Source organism: Homo sapiens, chromosome 1 (genome assembly GCF_000001405.40).
Source record: "Homo sapiens chromosome 1, GRCh38.p14 Primary Assembly".
Taxonomy (NCBI): domain Eukaryota; kingdom Metazoa; phylum Chordata; class Mammalia; order Primates; family Hominidae; genus Homo; species Homo sapiens.
Window position 1 is genome coordinate 220,685,835 of NC_000001.11, and position 19,280 is coordinate 220,705,114.

General features: G+C 47.0%; 1 protein-coding gene across 1 annotated transcript, besides 2 other annotated features; it reads left to right on the forward strand.

Moving 5' to 3' along the window:
- Positions 4,360 to 4,599: a silencer, noted in NCBI's record as "silent region_1826". NCBI's record gives its function as "represses an Ori minimal core promoter by ATAC-STARR-seq in GM12878 lymphoblastoid cells {active_cell/tissue: GM12878}" and the evidence as "EXISTENCE:reporter gene assay evidence [ECO:0000049][PMID:35858748]".
- Positions 4,529 to 13,319, forward strand: C1orf115 (chromosome 1 open reading frame 115). Its single transcript, NM_024709.5, has 2 exons — positions 4,529 to 4,877; positions 10,778 to 13,319. Exons 1-2 carry the CDS (start codon positions 4,569 to 4,571, stop codon positions 10,895 to 10,897), a joined length of 429 nt encoding a protein of 142 aa, NP_078985.3. The 5' UTR covers positions 4,529 to 4,568; the 3' UTR covers positions 10,898 to 13,319.
- Positions 10,571 to 11,770: an enhancer, noted in NCBI's record as "BRD4-independent group 4 enhancer chr1:220869747-220870946 (GRCh37/hg19 assembly coordinates)". NCBI's record gives its function as "activates an origin of replication core promoter dependent on BRD2, P300/CBP, MED14 and CDK7 cofactors, and independent of BRD4, by STARR-seq in HCT116 cells {active_cell/tissue: HCT116}" and the evidence as "EXISTENCE:reporter gene assay evidence [ECO:0000049][PMID:35650434]".
- Positions 13,320 to 19,280: the final 5,961 nt, after the last annotated feature.

Genomic DNA, 19,280 nt, shown 5'->3' on the forward strand with positions numbered 1-19,280 from the left:
AGAGAGGCCTGAGGAGAAACCAAACCCACGGACACCTTGTACTCAGACTTCCAGCCTCCAGAATTCTGAAAAATAAATTTCTGTTGTTTAAGCCACCAGACTGCAGTATTTTGTTATGGCAGCTCTAGCTGACTAACACACAGGCAAGGCTGGGACTGTAGCTAACTGTCGGGATTTGGGAGCTTGCTAGGTGGCAGCTGAGGTGCTAATGTCCTTACAGCCACCAGGTCCAGTGGCAGCCTCCTGGTGCCCAGCTTCCTCACTACAGCACAAGTAACAGCTCAGTGGTCATTCTAGGAGTTACACTGGAGATGGCCCAGCCTAGAGCTTGCTATTCTAGCCCTTTGTGAAATGTGGAAGCACTGAAGTCCGTATATCAAATCCTGTATCCACATGGCCATCTTAAAGGCTCAGGATAGGAAAACCAGTTGTCATAGTCCGTTCAGGCCACTATAAAAAACATCATAAACTGGGTAACTTGTAAACAACAGAAACTTACTTCTCAGAGTTCTGGAGGTTGGCAAGTCCAAGATCAAGGTGCCAGCTGATTCTATCTCTTGCTGCGTCCTCATAAGGCAGAAGGGGTGAGGGGTTTCTCTCTTGGGCCTCTTTTTATAAGGACATTAGTCCCATGAGGGCTACATTTCATGACCTAATCACCTCCCAGAGGCCTCCCATGCCCAATACCATCAACTTGGGGTTAGAAATTTAACACATGAATTTGGGGGTTGAAGGGGGGACACAGACATTCAGACCATAGCATTGGCATGGAACCACAGGACCCTTGGAGATTGAGAAGGGCATAGGTGATCAGGGATTCAAGGGTATTTGCTGGGTCATAACCAGTAGAGTAGAATGTTTCCAGTGAGGGCCTGTAAAAAACTATGGACAACCAGCTTCAAACACCTGGTAGGCCTTGTGGGTGAGACAACACCTTGGGCAATACTAGCCATGGAAGATGTTTTCTGCACTCTTCTCTGTTTTGGCCCTGGAAGAGTCAGAAACCAGTTTACAAGCTTGGGAGACTGAGAAACACTAGGTGGGGGAAGCAGAAGAGAAATTGTTGTTTCTCCCCAGTCCCTACTCTCTCACCACCACTGCACACAGGTACACACCCACATCAGGTGCTGCCTGAGGAGAGAAGATTTACTTTAAATCAAGTTCAAGGTTCTGAGTATTACATGGAATTGAACATTATACGATTTAGGATTATATAGATGAAGATTATGTTTAGTTATTTATTTGTTTATTTTTATTTTATTTTTTTTTTTGAGACAGAGGTTGGGACTTATTACTTCTGTGTGAATAGAAAAACTACAGGACTGCTGGGCGTGGTGGCTCACGCCTGTAATCCCAGCACTTTGGGAGGCCTAGGCGGGTGGATCACTTGAGGTCAGGAGTTCGAGACCAGCCTGACCAACATGGAGAAACCCCGTATCTACTAGAAAATATAAAATTAGCCAGGCATGGTGGCGCATGCCTCTAATCCCAGCTACTCGGGAGGCTGAGGCAGGAGTATCACTTGAACCTGGGAGGCGGAGATTGCCGTGAGCCAAGATCGCACCATTGCACTCCAGCCTGGGCAACAAGAGTGAAACTCTGTCTCAAACAAACAAACAAACAAAAAACCCTACAAGACTACCTAAGTTTTCACCGAGGAGCAAGAGACTCATTCTCTGAACAGAATAACTTGTAGAGAGACAAGGGAATGCAACATAAAGACAGTTTCTGATTACATCTCCTTAAATTCTGCTTGTTCACTGGTTATAGAGACTTAATCTGGAGATCAATTTTTAATTGTTCTAGTGTTTTGCCTTTAAAGGCAAACTAAATGTTGTTGTGATATTTGAACAGTATTTTGTACTGACAAAAACACATTTTAGGCCCATGGATGTTCTACCTTCGTCTCTATTTGTATTAGTCCGTTCTTGCACTGCTATAAAGAAATACCTGAGACTCAGTAATTTATAAAGAAAAGAGGGTTAATTTGCTCACAGTTCTGCTGGCTATACAGGAAGCATGATGGCTTCTGCTTCTGGGGAGGCCTCAGGAAACTTACAATCATGGCAGAAAGTAAAGGGGAAACACGCAAACATGGCCAAAGAAGGAAGATGAGAGAGAGAAGGGGGAGGTGCACACCACCCACTTTTAAACGACCAGATCTCGCGATAACTCACTCACTATTACTAGGATAGCACTGAGGGGATGGTGCTAAGTCATTCATGAAGGGCCACCCTCATGATCCAATCACCTCCCACCAGGCCCCACCTCCAACAGTGGGGATTACAATTCAACATGAAATTTGGTGGGGACATAGAACCAAACTATATCACCATTTGATAAGCAGCCTAGGGTTCTTTGAGGTCGGTTTTGTACAAAAAAAAAAGGGACTACAAGGGTCTCTGTTTGTTTATAAAGTAATAGTTGCTTTAGCAAAATTACAAATCTACAAATCTACTTTCTCTTAACCTTTTAAATTCAAATTACATACTGTTTTAAACTATTTACTCACCCGATAAAATTTTACAATTACTGTAAGGAGGCACTTTTACTGTTTAGTTAATTCTCCTAAACATTTCAAGCAACTTTTACAAATTTAATATTTGACTTTCTTTTCAAGTACTTCAATTCTATAACAAAACTCTAAGTAATTCTTATAAATATAGTAAGTTAAATTCATTTTCATACCCATTTCACCTGAAATTGAATTGTACATAAATTTTATATACTATTTTACATATAAAGACTCTATGTTTTTAAGATTAAATATAAGTCATTACTTATTACCTTATTACATAAGTTAAATAAAAGCGTAAATCAATTAGCTGATTACTTTTTTTTTTTTTTTTGAGACAGAGTCTCACTCTGTTGCCCAGGCTGGAGTGCCGTGGCACGATCTCCGCTCACTGCAACCTCTGCCTCTTGGGTTTAAGCGATTCTCCTCCTCAGCCTGCCGAATAGCTGAGACTACAGGAGCACGCCACCATGCCTGGCTAATTTTTGTATTTTTAGTAGAGACAGGGTTTCACTATATTGGCCAGGCTGGTCTCGAACTCCTGACCTCAGGTGATCCACCGCCTTGGTCTCCCAAAGTGTTGGGATTACAGGTGTGAGTCACCGCACCGAGCCACACATTTTCACTTTTTTAGAAATGGGGCCTACGTTGCTCAGAACTCCTAGCCTCAAGGGATCCTCCCACCACAGCCTGTGGAGTTGCTGGGATTACAGGTGAAAGTCACCATGCTGGCTCACATTTTAAGTTGGAATCACAAAACTAATTTCTTTTGCATCCTAGTGAACTAAATTGTCGTAAACATTGTATGTGCTTATACCAACATATACACGTTATTCTTAAATTTAATCACAAACTTTAATGTTAAAATATCAGTGTATCTAACAATCTATGTTATTTTATACCTAAGTATTTTTTTGAGATGGGATCTCACTCTGTCGACCCCTTTGGAGCGCAGTGGCACAATCATAGCTCACTGCAATCTCCACCTTCCAGGATCAAGCGATCTCCCTACCTCACTGGGACTACAGGTAAACTTTTGTATTTGTTTTTCTATTTCTAGAGATGAGGTCTCCCTGTGTTGCCCAGGCTAGTCTCAAACTCCCAGGCCCAAGCGATCCTCCTGAATAGCTGGGATCACAGGTGTGCGCCCCTACGCCTGGCTAATTTTTTTTTTTTTTTCTAGAGATGGAGGTCTCACTATGTTGCCCAGGCTGTTCCCCAACTCCTGGGCTGAAGCTATCCTCCCGGCCTCTCAAAGTGCTGGGATTACAGGCGTGAGCCACTGCTTTCGGCCCTTAATTCTACATTAGCCAGAATTCAAAGGCATTTACCCACTTAAGAAAATAGGGCACTCTCAGCTTGTTGAGATTCACAGTACACTGATAATGCTTATCTCACAGAGAGATATTCCTGAAAATCATGATTTTAAAGACTGCGCCATATGCTGGCATGTCTGCACCAGAATTTCCTTTGCGCCTCCCTGTTGGTTTGCTCCACTTTTTCACTGAGTCAGACCGTTGAACACCGTGGACACACTGTCTTGCGTTTCCGAATATTTCCTAGAATACGGACGTTTCCTAAGACTCACGATAAAGATTTTCTGATCGTCTCTCCAAAACCTTGCCACCAATTTGCACTCCCACGAATCCTGTTACCGTGACTATCTCGCCATGCCCTCCCTAGCACTGAGCGTGATCTCTAGTATCATTTTCCATCGTTGCTAATTTGAACATGAGCAGATGGAGTCCTATTATTTGGGGTCATTAATTTCGTAGCAAGTGCAGTTGAAGGTGTTTTGCATGTTCATTGTGCAGTGCGCGCCGTAGTCTGCACAGTTTGGCCGGCAGGTGGGATGAAGGGCGGGGCTGGCGGAGCGCGCCCGCCGCCTGGTAGGCCAGTTCGGAGCGGAGCCAACGCTATCCCGGGCCCCACGGCCAGGGGGCGCTGCGGCCCCCCCAATCCCCCGCCCCGTCCGGGCTGGGGCGGAGGAGCGGGCGGGGACCAAAGGTTGGTGTCTTTGCGCTCGGACCTTCGCCAGAGGGGCCGGGACATCATGACGGTGGGAGCCAGGCTCCGAAGCAAGGCGGAGAGCAGCCTCCTGCGCCGCGGGCCCCGAGGGCGAGGGCGAACCGAGGGGGACGAGGAGGCGGCCGCCATCCTGGAGCACCTGGAGTACGCGGACGAGGCGGAGGCGGCGGCCGAGAGCGGGACGAGCGCGGCGGACGAGCGGGGCCCGGGGACCCGGGGCGCGCGGAGGGTGCACTTCGCCCTCCTGCCCGAGCGCTACGAGCCACTGGAGGAGCCGGCGCCGAGCGAGCAGCCCAGGAAGAGGTACCGGAGGAAGCTGAAGAAGTACGGCAAGGTAGGGGCCCTGCGCCACCACTGCCCGGGGGGCGCGGGTGTGGTGTCCCGCGGGGGAGCGGGAGCCGGGTCCTTACCATCGACTCACCCAGTTTCTCCGGGCTGCACCTGCGACCCCTCCGCCCCCGCTCCCATTCCCTCGCCGGAGGGAAGCCGCGAGTTGCGAGTCGTGATAGAAACTTAAATCGGGGGTTGCGCTGGGTGGTCCCTGCTGTGCCTGCTATTGCGCTCCTGGCTTCTTAAGAACATTCTCAAGGGGCTCCTACCGCGGTGGTTTTTATGTAAGATCAGGAATCAGTTTCCTGATTACAGATGGGAATACTGAAGCGTTAGCGCGGCAGGTGACTTGGAGAAGGTGGCCCAGTTGGAAAGAAAGAAATTGCAACCCAGTGTATTTGTTTTCCAGTAACATCCCCTCCAGGATATCCCACTAGTTGAGAAATGTTTGGGTTACTCTCCCAAATATTCCCAAGGTTATTTCCCGAGCCTGGGAGCGCAACAAATACATAAATAGGCGCTCGTTGAATTTTTCTCGTCTAGCCAACTATCAGTGTACTCTGGGGCCTTCAAAACATTCTGCCGTTTGTCTCGGGGAGATGGGGTTAGGAAGAATGAATATGGGAGAAAATGACAGTTTCCTTCGCGGAAATCAAAGCGCAGATGCAGTTCCCAGGTGTCTCTGCATGGAAACAGTCGAAGCTGCTGCCGGAAGCTCTGCTGGCCTGGACAAGGCCACCCAGAATAAAGTCACAGAAGTTACTGTGTCCTGGCCAAAGGCCACGGGCCCCATCTGATTTATTGTCTATTTATCTGTGTTGCCCAATGCCGTCTTACACCTGAAGCCATTCAGTCTCCATGCCTGGGAGCTTAGGTTTATCATCCTCTTTAAAGGTATGTCAGCAGCTTCTGGAGCAGAATACAGGCAGGGGTAAAACTATAAAGTTGGGTCTTTCAGGCTTAGAGCCCTGCTAGGACGATTCATCTCTGCTTTGGGTCCCAGTTGAGCACAAAGAAGCCATCATGTCCCTCTCCATTGGTGAACTGATACTGCAGAAACCTCAGCTCAAGGACTAGGACTTGAAGATATTTTGGGGGCACTCATTATGCGTCAGGCATTGTGCTGAGCAGTAGAGATGCGAAAATGAATACAGTGCAGCCCTGCCCTAGAGAAGGGCACAGCCTCCCAGGGAGACACTGACATAGCTGGCTCCCCCCGCCCCCGGGGGGGCTTCAGGGCACAGAGCTCAGGCAGTTCACTCCTCAGCGGTGAGCTTGTAAACTCAGGGAAGTTTTCAAATCACGGTGACATGAAAACTGGGCACAGAAGGATGAGTTAAGATTTCACCAGATAACAGTGAAGTGGTATGAAGTAGGCACACTTCATCCCCACTAGAACGGCTACTCCAAAAAATGTCCAAACAAACCGAATAACAAATGTTGGCGAGAATGTAGAGAAATTGGAACCATTGTACATTGCTGGTGGGAATGTAAAATGGGACAGCTGCTGTGGAAAACAATTTGGGAGTTCCTTAAAAAGTTCAGTGTAGACTTATTCTGTGATCTAGCAGTTCCACTCCTAGGGATGTAACCAAAGAATTGAAAACAGGTACTCAAATCAATGTTTATATACACATTTTAATGGAATTATTATTTACAATAGTCAAAAGGTGGAAACAACCCAAATGTCCCTAAATGGATGAATGCATAAACAAGTGTGTTATATACATACAATGGAATAGTATTCAGCCATAAAAGGAAGGAAATGTACTAATCCATGCTACAATATGATGAACCTCTAAAAATATTATGCTAAGTGAAGTAAACAAGACCCGCAAGATCACATATTGTGCGTATGATTCCATTTGTATGGAATGCTTAGGATAGGTCAACCCATGGAGATGGAACACAGATTGGTGGTTGCCAGGGACTGCGGGAAAGAGGAATGGAGCCCATCTGCTTAATGGGTAATGTGTTTTTTCCTGGGGATGATGAAAATGTTTTGGAACTAGATAGAAGTGGTGGTTGCACAACAATGTAAATGTACTAAATGCCACCGGGCTGTACGCACTTTAAAATGGTGAATTTTATGTTATGTGAATTTTGCCTTAACTAAAACAAACAAAAAAAACAAGATTTCAGTGGATAGAGAAGTGGTGTCATCTCAGGTAGAGGGGCCATCACAAGCCCAGCTGTGGGCATGAAAGCTCTAGAGTGTTGCACGCTAGTTCAATGGACCCAGGAGGCCAGGTGAGAGGATGTCGTCAGGTTAGGGTTGGATCTCTCCTTTCTGCCCTTCAAAAGTGACTTCAGCTTCTACTTTCTTGGAGCCACCTGAGAGGGTCACCAGGCTCAAACATGGAGATATAAAGCAGGTGACCCCTCTTTGTTCCCCGAGACCCCAGCTCCCCTCTGAGAGAGTAGTTGGGTAGAAAGCTCTACTCAGATCAAAGAATTCCAAATGCACTCTCTTAAATGACACTGAAATAGTGGTTGAGAGATATTTTATGTTTCTTTGCATTTCATTTCTCAAATCTGTGTTTTTAACAGTGTTCCAGTTAATGAACTATTTTAGTAGATTTTTTTTCCCTAAATTACAAAGTGACAAGTAGCTTTTAAAGTATAACAGGCTGAGCAAAATGGATGTACAAATACCAAAAATGTCACGTTTAATGCAGGCGATTGTCATTCTGATCTTGTTTATAATGGATCACTCTTGATTGTTAAGCTTGTTCCCAGAGAATATGTTTTTCTTTTGTTGTTTCAAACATGTAAGTAAAATTCCCCCAGTGATTCTTATCACACATTTAAAGAACTGTATCTCTTAGCAACATCACATACCCACACATGCGCATGCCCCAGCCCAGTGTCTCTTTGAGACATCAACAGGGTAATGTCCAGGAAAGCAGTGTCTAGAGAAGACACAGACATTACTTGGTTCTTGCAAAGCTCCTCATTTAGCGGGAGAGGTACCAAAGGAAACACTCAGCCTCTTTCTACATGCTCAGGATACAGTAATGAGCACAACAGAGTCCCTGCCCTCCTTCTGTTACTGTGAGGGACCCTGTAATTTAAACTATTGAAAGCTCAGCTGGGTGTGGTGGCTCACACATGTAATCCCAGCACTTTGGGAGGCTGAGGCGGGTGGATCACCTGAGGTCAGGAGCTGGAAACCAGACTGACGAACATGGTGAACCCTGTCTCTACTAAAAATACAAAAAGATTAGCCTGGCGCGGTGGTGCATGCCTATAATCCCAGCTACTTGGGAGGCTGCAGCAGGAGAATCGCTTGAACCTGGGAGGTGGAGGTTGCAGTGAGCTGAGATCGCGCCATTGCACTCCAGACTGGGCAACAAGAGCAAAACGCGGTCTCAAAAAAAAAAAAAAAAAAAAAAGCTCAAGTAAGCCAGAAGTCATAGGAAATTATAGTCTTAAGAAACTTTCCCAAACAGACAACAAAAATATTGGGTTTATCTATCACCACCACAAACCTAAATTGCTATGTAATCAAAAGAAGCAGATGTTATTTAGCAGTAATAATAGCTGACATTGGGGGGCACTTATACTGCCTGCAGTTTGTGCCAGGCCCTGTTCTCAGTGCTTTGCTTACATGATCTCATTTACTCCTCTTAACAACCCAATGAGGTGGTTACTAAATATTCCCATTGTATAGGTGAGGAAACCGAGGCCATGGGAAATTAAGTAAGTGATAGAGTTGGAATTCAAGCCCAGGGCATGAGTGGTTAACTAGAAGCTTACATATTGCCTTTATTTAAAAAGGGAAACATAGTATGGGGGTTAAGGTCATAGGCCCTGAAGTGAGATTTCTTTGGGATTGAACTTCAGCTCTGCCCCTAACCAGATATATACATGTGGACAGATGTAATCTCTCTGTGCTTTGAATGATTGAAGTCTGATAGACAAAGGCCACCAGGGACATGCCAGTAGCCAATCCACGTTAGGTTTATGTGCTTAGGGCTACAAGGGAGAGTGCATGCCAGAGGAATTGTGGGGTCTTCAAAAAGTGGAGATCTCAAGTAACGAATTGAATATTTGAGTCTGAACTAAAGAGTTCTTCAAATCTAGGAGATACTTGTAGTCATTAGAAATGGATGAGACCATCTAAGGAGAGACTGTAGGGAAAGAAAGAGAGAAGGAAAGACCCAGGACTGAGTATTGAACAACACCAACATTTTAAAGTCTGGTAGAAGGGATAATTTAGCAAAGAAAGCTGAGGAGGAGCTCCCTATTTAGGTAGGGGAGAACTAAGAATATGGAGTCAAAGACGCCACATGATTATTTCATAAAGTATGTCAAAAGCTGCTGAGAGGTCAGGGAGAGAAAGACAGAAAAGCGTCCACTGGGTCAGGCAGCATGGGGGTTGTAGATGGCCATGACCAGACAGTCCCTCATGGGTTGGGGTAGGAGCCGGAGTCAGAGGGAATAAGAAGCGCAGACATGGAGGCAGTATATGTGGTTGGCTCTTTTGGCTGGCTTGGCACGATGGAGGGCAGAGACTGGGGCAGGATATGGAGTCACGGTGATACCCGAGCATGTATGTAAGCTAATGGGATCCAATGGAGAGGAAGCGAATGATGGAGGTGGTGAAGGGAAAGCCAAGATCAAGGTGGGAGAAGGCACTGACACCAAGTATCAAGGGAATGGCTTGGGGGAAGAAGACCACTTTCTCCACCGTAACACAGGCAATGCGGGAGAAGCCAGGGGCAGCCACAGGCAGGGCTGTTGAGAGTGGTGGAAGGTGAACGTGTTCCCTGACGATGTCTGGGTTTTTTTTTTTTTTTTTTTTTTCTGTGAAAGGTGAAGTGGGATCATCTCATGAAGGTATGGAGACTTGGGTGTGTTCGTGTGTGTTGCAAGTGGGGAGGCTTAAGAAGGGAAAAGGTATGAGGCAGTACCCGGGGGAGAGAGAAATTCATCCTACTGGACAGATGTGGAGGTTTGTCAGGTGGTGTTGGAAGTCAAGGTGAGATATGTGATTGTGATCAGGAATTTTAAGTTAAACCAGTCTGAGTGGTTATGGTAATATGGAAAAGTCAAAGGACTGAGAGACAAGGTATGTGGCCTAAGGCACAGGTTATCTGCATGGACATTGATATCACCAAGAGTGATGACAGAAGTTGAGGTACGGAGGGGAAGACCATGGGCAGCCGTGCAATAAATGTTTGGTGGTGGTGGTGGTAATTTTTCTGTTGCAATCACATTTGAGTCCTTTAGATGTCCCCTGTCTAGCACCTGACATTCCCTGAATGTCCCCTACCCAGCCTTGTAGAAAAGGAAGAGGAGGAGTGGTTACCAAGAAAGCATTGCCCAAGCCTGACCATCAGGGAGCTTATAATGGTATTGGAAATGCTGGACTTACATAGATATAGCAATTAGAAAATGGCAGAAGACTACAAAAGGACAGATGTGTGGGTCAGACAGAAATATGCCATTGAGGTAGAAGGAGGAGAAGATGGGCTTTCAGATAAGGTGAAGGAAGGAAAACTTAACCCAGCCTTCTGACGGTCCAGTAATTTTTAGCTGGAACAGAGAAGAGGAGTGATCTTTGGTTTAAAAAACAAAATAAAACTGCTTTAGTTTTAGAATTAGCAGCCTTACTGCTGTTTCCAAGAAGGTCTTTGAATTATCTGGAAATAAGCTGTGCTTGAAAGCACTTTGCAAGGTGATGATGTCTGCTGTGAGCCGCTACATATTCTTAGGCTGGAGGTGGGCACCTTCCACCAGAGATGTGGGAATGTGGTAACTTGCTGATTTGTCACAAGAGAATCAGGAAAAATGATCTTTATATATGTCGCCGTGACTCATTTTTTTTCATGAAAGATGGCAGAATTAAAAAGTTGCCTACCCTAATCCTTTGCTTTTCTCTTTTATTCCTAACACTAGAATGTCGGGAAGGTCATCATCAAAGGATGCCGCTACGTGGTCATCGGCCTGCAAGGCTTCGCTGCAGCCTACTCCGCCCCGTTTGCGGTAGCCACCAGCGTGGTATCCTTCGTGCGCTAATGGGAGCTGCTGTGGCAGGTGCCCCCAGAGTGAACGGGAGCCCCTGCTGTGGGAACTTTGTGAATCCTGGAGCATCTCAGACTTGAACACACAGCATATTTGGAAGAGAAAACATGCCTTTCTTTGTTGAATCACATTAGTATGATGAGTGAGTCATCCCTGCCCATCTGCTGAGCTTCTCACATCTCTCAGTCACACGTGGACCCAGTGGTCAATCCTGCAGAGAATTCGGCGGAGGTTAGGTTTGGGAGTGGAGCTAGCGTGCTAAAGCCAGAGCCTTCACGTGAAGGTGGCAGGCACTGGGGCGGAAGCCAACACTCAACAGATGCAAGCAGTGTGGGTGTGCAGCAGAACAGTGATCTTGGGGGAGGAAGAGGATGTTACTAGAGTCAGATGATTTGCTGTATTCTCCTGAAAGGTCGTAGGCTGACAGGCGCTCACATTCCTTGGCTGCCTCGGTTCTGAGGGCAGCTAAGGAGCTGTTTATTCCTCAAGTCATGCTCCCCGATCTCCTTCCTCTACCACTCTGTCACCAGGAGTTTAATTACAGGCTTGAGGAGAAGAAAGGAAGAAAAGATATCTTGATGCTTTGAAAACTGTGTTGGCAGTGTGGCATGACTGTTTAAAGTAGATAAAACCTTGTCATTTTACCCCATCCCTGCATGACTGTGAAGCTGGCGAGGAAGGAGGAAGAAGGGCAAGTTCAGATGCAGGCTGGGTGGCTGGGACAGGTTGGCTAAGGGACTACTCTGGAGGGCTCTTCTGCCTGGCATTGCCCACTTCGGCCCAGCCACGTGTTTGCAGCGACCAGAGTCCCTGCAAAGGTGTGGCTGGCTGTGGTCAGGGTGCTACTAGCACCATCAGCGCACTCCCGCCATTGGCTCAGCTCCTCTCTGCCAGTCCAACTAAGAGTGCTTTGTCCTGGGTGGGACATAGGGGCTGAGAGAGATGGGGGGAGACATAACACCCAGGAATGAAAATACAGATTTAGAGAAGGAACCAGTAAGTAGGAGACAGATGTGAAGGAAATGGAAATGAGGCAAGAGGACATTGGAAGAGAGAAGTTTGCTGTCCAGGAGCCAGGTCTGGAGCATCAGTGTGAGGGAGTTCAGGTAGGCTGGGCCTGTGCCTCTAGGTAGGGACAAGGGAGGCTGGGTAGCCAGGGCTGGTGCTTAAAACCCCTGAGGCCATGAGCTCATTGGCTGCCTTTGTAGCATCCTGTCTTCTTCTGTGCTGCCTGGTTTGATCTCATCTCACCTGGATTCAAAGGGTAAGGTGGGCATGGGTCTTGGGCCTGACACCCACCAAGGATGACCTGTGGACTGCCATCGGATGCTGAACAGGGAGATGAAAGGAGGTCCTCTTACCATACCCCTCTGCCAACCCCCCAGTAGGCCACTGTTCTGACTTTGTTTCCAGAATATCCAGAAATCCAAAGGGGCTGTTGCTGAACAGTCTGCAGGACCAGTGACAGCACCTACCTGTTGTCCCAAGGCATACAAAGGAGGCCTCAACGCTCATGCTTCTCTAATCAAGCCCTACCAAGACAGACAGAAAGACAGACAGAAAAAAGGAAGGGGTAGAGGAGAAGGTTGAAGCTGTGGAGCTAGACTCTGCTTCACTTCCTGAAGCTTCAACTTCATGTCGAAGATTCACTGGGACCCAATTCCTGCATTGTTAATATTTGTGAGGAAAAGTGAAACAAGTGATCTGGTTTTAGCCCAGATGATGAAAGTGGATATGGCACATTTTCACACACGTGAGATAATTACAGCTTGCCCCACAACACTGGGTGTTGGAGAAAGGGAGAGATAGTCATAAGTGGAAGAAAAAGCCAAGCATAGTGAGTGGGAAAGAGAGTGAGAGCCTGTGCAGGCTGCTGACGAGCCCCAGGCAGCCCACAAGTTTCTCGTGGGGAGATGGAGGCAGAGCCCAGGGTAGGGGACAGAGCTGCTGGGGCCTTTCCTTGCCTGGGAATCTGTCCCAGGAAGAGCTTCCCCACTCCCATCCCCCAAATTGGAAAAACCGTACATTCAAGCCTGTTTGGCCCTGAAATTCTTAAGAATCTGGTTAAGAATTAACTCACTAATGTCAAAAGTCAAAACCTCCTAGGGGTTGTCCTGGGAGTCAGGTTCACGGGTACAGAAGATGAATCTCAGATGTCACTCAACCTGAGCCGTCATTCTCTGTGGCAGGGCTGCCCTGGGTTTCTCTTACTCAATCCCTGGAGTGTAAGCATTTGGATTGTGTCACAGATTACCTTTTTACCTTTTCTTTCTTTTTTTTTCTTTTTTTCAATATCAGTGCCCACACCTTACTGAGTATTGAGTTTTAGAGCTTTCGCTTGATGTGCTTGACCAAGAGACTTCTTTTGTATCCTTTTCTTGTCCTATGATGTAAATAAAAGCCTCGATTTATGTAATGTTTCTGGTGTGAAGGGTTCCCAGCTCCTCACTTTCTAGCCTTGCCTGAGGGAGATTCCTGGAGTCCAGCCACACTGAGAGCCTGGCACAGCAGGTGATGACCAGTCGGGAGAGACCTCCCTGGGAACCAGTAGGAGCCCACAGCTGCTCCCCAAGGACCCAGGGGAGGGAGAGACCCCAATTCACCTGGGAACTCTGCATGTGTGTTAAAGGGGACAGTTCTCTCTAAGCCAGCAGAACAGGCTTTGCCTTCTAGGAGCCTCAGCTCATGAGTTTGTTGAAAAATGGGCCGGGCACAGTGGCTCACGCCTATGATCCTAGCACTGAGGCAGGCAGATTGCTTGAGCTCAGGAGTTCGAGACCAGCCTGGGCAACATGGCGAAACCCCATCTCTACTAAAATACAAAAAATTAGCTGGGTGTGATAACGCACTCCTGTAATCTCAGCTACTTGGGAGGCTGAGGCAGAAGAATTGCTTGAACCCAGGAGGCAGAGGTTACAGTGAGCCAAGATCGCACTACAGCACTCCAGCATGGGCAACAGAGTGAGACTCTGTCTCAAAAAAAAAAAAAAAAAAAAAAAAAAAAATTCCAGAACCTCCAGCTCAGATTTAGAGAGCCTAGCAGGGGGGCAGGAGCTGCACTGCCCACAGGGTGCTGAGAAAACTCCAATGCAGCTGTTCCTCTGCCTCAGCTGGGAAATGCTGGCCCCTGGGGCCCTGCTGCACGTTGCATCTGCCAGTGGGACTCCAAGTGGGAGGCTGGGCCAGAGGAGGGGCCCTGCCGGGTTCCAGGCCTGCACTGAGTACGTGTGGTATGCCTGCTCACTGAGTCCTCACAGAAGTGATAGAGAAGGTCTTGGAGGTGCGGAAGGTGGAGAGGAGAGGAGTGGTCCTGGTAGCCATCAGGGCCCACTGGTCCCAACCTGCTGTTAGGCTTACAGCAAAGCAGAAGAGAGGGACCACTGTGTCTTCAGCCACCTTGGAGTCATCTCTGCTGCCCCTCTGCCCAGCACCTGTGTCATGCCAGAGAAGTCCCGACAGCCTCTGTGACCAAGAAGCAGCCAGAGGCAGGACTTGAACTCAGACCACCTCCTCCGCCCTCCAATAGTCTTCTGAGGAATGGTAGTCTCCCTTAGCAGAAAACAGTTGTGGCCTCAGGAAACAGTTATTGCAGTGTTAGATTTAGGCAGCTGTGGTTAGGGGGTTTGCACCCATGAGGTCTTTTTCCAGCCCCTGACTGCAGGAGTACAGAGGAACTGAGTAAACTCAATGATGCCATCACTTCCAGAATGTTTTTGAACATTTGATAGATCACCCCAGAAGCTTATTTTGTAATTAACACACAGAAAAAACATATTTGAGAGGTTCCATGGTTTTATCAAAAACCCAGATGGTTCTTGAGTGAAAAAAAGTCTCTACTGCATTGACCATTCATGGGGAAATGTGGGAAAATAAAAAATATATAGGGTATGTATTTTTTTTTTCCTAGAGGCAAGGTTGGTTTTGAGCCAAACCACTCCAAGGATAGCCAAGGGAAAAGGAGATCACTTCTGATCTACAGGGCTCAGTGCCTGAGCCTAGTGAGTGCAGCAGCCACCCTGCCAAGGAAGGCAGAACAAAGGCTTTATTGCTGGAAGCCTCAGGCCAAATCTCCGCCTCTAAATGCTTCCTGCTTTCTACCCTTCAGCCTCATCTGAAGACACAAACTAGGATTAGAATAAAGCACCTTGAAGATGGGCTTTGCTTTTTAAAAAAGTGTTTCTCAGGTAGTGCCTCTTGCATAACCTGTTGACAAGGCTCTGAACAGATGCATCTGGTTCAAACCAGACATAAAAATCCCAGCCAAAGGACCAGACAGAAATAGAGCTGAAGAGTTCACACTTCCTTTCACTTGCTCTTTAATTCCATGGTATTATTATCATGTCCATGGTCACAGAGCTCGGAAGCAGAGATGCTTTCTGGCAAGGATGATGATTTTTGCATTTTGAGTTCTTAGAGTCAAGGAGAAAAAAAGCATGTAATTATGAAATATTTTCACAGCCATCATTCTCGTATACAAAATCAGACTTGAATTTGTCTTTCAGTGTTTTCATTTTAATAAAGCAATGAGCCATTCATAGAATTCCACAAGCCCCTGAATAGAACCCCATCTGCTTCCCCTGGACACACTTCTGGGACATATATGATCACTGCAAACTAAGATGCATTAAACATCCAGTAGGGGTGAGGTGCAGTGGCTCATGCCTGTAATCCCAGCACTTTGGGAGGCCGAGGCGGGCGGATCACTTGAGGTCAGGAGTTCAAGACCAGCCTGGCCAATATGGTAAAACCCTGTCTCTACTCAAAATATAAAAATTAGCCGGGCATGGGGGCAGGCGCCTATAATCCCAGCTACGCGGGAGGCTGAGGCATAGAATCGCTTGAACCTGGGAGGCGGAGGTTGCAGTGAGCCGAGATAGTGCCACTGCACTCCAGCTTGGGCGACAGAGTGAAACTCAGTCTCAAAAAAATGAAAATAAATAAACATTCGGTAGGTACACGAGGCACTGTGCTGGGTGGTTCAGCATCATTTTATCTCCATTTCATTCTCAATAACAGTGTCGATGAGGTAGATATTATGATTATCTCTGTTTTATAGATAATAAAACTGAAGTTGAGGAAAGTTAGGGAATTTGGCTCTGGTGCTTTGGCCAGGAGGTGCTGAAATCAGGACCCAAGACTATGCACTTTCTGTCAGTTTCAGCTGCCTCTTATTTCCATTTCCTCTCAAGCTCCTGTCAACTGAAGGGAAAAAAAATCAAGCTTTTAAAGCATTAAAGTCACTTTTATTCAGAAATCTTCTAGATTGAGGCTTAAAGCCGAGGAGCAGCCCTTTAGAGAGGTCCTGTCAGGCTGCTCCAGCACAGTGTTTCAGCCCATTGCTTATACGCAGGTGGTGCAGGTTAAGTAGCTGCAAAATCACATCAAAGTTTGGGTTCAAGATTACATCAGCTCCAGATTACAGAAGTGTAACCACTGACCGCGGGTAATTCCACCACCCAGACATATGGTGATGGACGTTTCCTGATCATTTGAGGTCTTCTACAGCACAGTGTGAAGTGACTGTGGAACAAACCATAATCTTCTATTATTGCTTGTTTGGGGGACGTTATGTGTAGGAAACAGCAAGGACTATGATCATTTATCTTTTAAGGAATGTAGTGACTCAGGCAAGAGATATGGGGGTGTCCTGTGCTGTATCCTATTTTGTCTTCAGTGCATCCTTCAGAGAGTTGCATGTTGTCACAGTCAGGGGCTTCGTGAAATTATGCTGGCAGGCAGAGTTGAGGGAACATGGCTTCTTACCTTTGCTGCTTTGGCTCACACTCCTGTTAACCTCCAGTGACCACAAGGAAGAGAAAGCTTTAGATGTAATTATATCCAACATGTATTCCTCATTGCATTTATGTAATCAAAATAGTTAGCAAGACTCCAATAAAGACTTGAGGTGCCGAAATTATACTCTGGATTTTTGAGATGCTGAGATAGTTTAGCTGGGGATTTGCCATGGTCAAAACACAGAAGGAAGAATGTGAAGGGTTGTGTGATTCCCAAGTCGATGGGGTTGAATTTGCTTTGCAGTTTTGCCACACTTCCTTGGCGTGATTTCTGCAGCTGCAGTAACTATTCCCACTGGCTGCAATTTTGTTCTCATGATGCAACCCTCCGTTTTTCACCCCAGGGGCCCAGAAGCCACCTTTCAAAGCTCCAGGGGCAGCAGGAAGCCACCCCACCTAATAGGAACAGTATTGGCATTGGACCAGCTGGCTTCTAATCCTGTATCTGTGTGACCTCAGACAAGCTCTTCAACTTTGAATTTCATTTGCAAAGTAGATGGCATCTATTTCAGAGGCTTATTCGGAAGGTTAACTATGGAGTGTATTAAGAGCCCAACCTGTAGGAGATTAAGTGTTCTGCCTCTGCAACTGCCCCTAGCTGAAAGTCAGCTGCCTCTGACCCGTGGGAGGAAAGGAAAGAGGTCTGAGAGCTAGGGGTGGGGCAGGGTGGTGGGGAGAGTGCAGGGAGGGAAACAGGCAGGGGTGAGAGGGAAAGGAAAGGAGGGACACAACCTCTCTCCCCAACCATTTGTGTTTTTCTCTCCTTCCAGAAAGATTGGAGACCTAGCTTTCCCTTTGCTGGAAAGCAAACCCAGCGGCAGGAGCTGCAGGGGAACTGGGTTGGGGGCTGTGGCTCAGGAGCAGCAGGAGAGAGAGGGCTGAAGAGGATGGAGCTGGGCTGGTTCAAGGCAGCGGGAAAGAAGGGGTTTGTGTGTAGCTTTTGGTATCTTCCAGCCACCCCTGACAAGGAATGACTCAATTTTTGCCCTGAACTCACTTCCCCTTCTGGTCAGCCTATGGCCTTGTTTCTGGAGACCCAAACTCACCTTATCTGTAACGGGATGGAAGAAGTCCTGTTAGCTCCCCAAGGCACAAGGGTGCACAGGACAAACAGGCAGTTTGAGGATCAATGAGAAAACCCCTGGGCCCTGAGGAGGTGCACAGGGGTCGCTGTCACTGCTCATTGCAAATATGATGGCAACATACTTAATAATAGCTATTATGACAACCTGGAAGGCAAATATGCACTTTCCTTAATCTCCCAAAGTATTTTCATTTGTGTATTTATTCACTTATTCAACAAACACAGTTGAGCCCCTGCTGTGTGCTGGCCTCATGCTAGATGCTGGGCCTGCTCCACTGGGAGGTGTTAGAAGGGAGAGAGCCGTTATGGCTGTGAGTCCTAGTGTCAGATTCTCTGTTGAGGGTTGGAGTTTAATGTACAGGGTGATGACTAGCGGGAGTGCCTTGATCAACCCCACAGGAGAAGGAAGCAGGACTGGACAGGGGGAGAAGTTGAGCTGCAGTGCAGACCCAGCAAAGGCCTCAGCCCACCCCACCAGGAGCTCCGAAACTAGAATGGCCCTTCAGGGTTGACCCGACTTGCAATGGGATGGCCGGGCCATTATGTTAGGGAAGCATGGGCCTCAGAGAGCCAGAGTGACACCATTTTAAAATCAACTCTGTCGGCTGGGCGCGGCGGCTCATGCCTGTAATTCCAGCACTTTGGGAGGCTGAGGCAGGTGGATTACCTGAGGTCAGGAGTTCGAGACCAGCCTGGCCAACATGGTGAATCCCTGTCTCTACTAAAAATACACACACAAAAAATTAGCCAGGGGTGGTGGCACGCACCTGTAGTACCAGCTGCTCAGGAGGCTGAGGCAGGAGAATCGCTTGAACCTGGGAGGCGGAAGTAGCAAAGAGCCAAGATGGCGCCATTGCACTCCAGCCTGGGCAACAAGAGCGAATCACTGTCTCAAAATAAATAATAAAAAATTAAAAATCTCTCTTAAAACTAGCCTAGCAAGACACTTTCCTTGCCAGTCATGACCCATCCTAAGATGTTTAAAGCTAAGAAAACAGCTTGATAATGCCTTCAAGGACAAATTCCTACAACAGAAAGTCCAGACGTCCCATAACAATATACGCTTTCAAGATAATGATAGTTATACTTGAATGTATTAATACACTAAAATGTTAAGGATAGTTTTATTTAAATCAATAAAATAATAAAATTTCTCAGGCTATCAACCCACCTGGACGTAGGCACAACTTAGCTTAGTGTTGACACAGGGAAGGTCCCACATAAGAAAAACACATAAGGCACAGCTTAGCTTAGTGTTGACATAGGGAAGGCCCCACATAAGAAAAACTTAAAGACATTCGTCTGCTTGCTTTCTGAGGACACCTTACTCTGTAATGGAGTCACTTCAATAAACTCGCTTCTTTCACTCCACCCCACAGCTTGCCTTGAATTCCTTCCTGCACAAAATCCAAAACCCCTCTTTCCAGTAACAATTATACCTGACGTTGATCAACTGATGGACGAGTTGCCCTGGGACAGAGATACCTTGAGGCCAGGC

Coding starts and splice junctions, on each gene's coding strand:
- C1orf115 (NM_024709.5), top strand. CDS start 4,569: ATGACGGTGGGAGCCAGGCTCCGAAGCAAGGCGGAGAGCAGCCTCCTG. Junction 4,878..10,777: donor AGCTGAAGAAGTACGGCAAG/GTAGGGGCCCTG, acceptor TCCTAACACTAG/AATGTCGGGAAGGTCATCAT.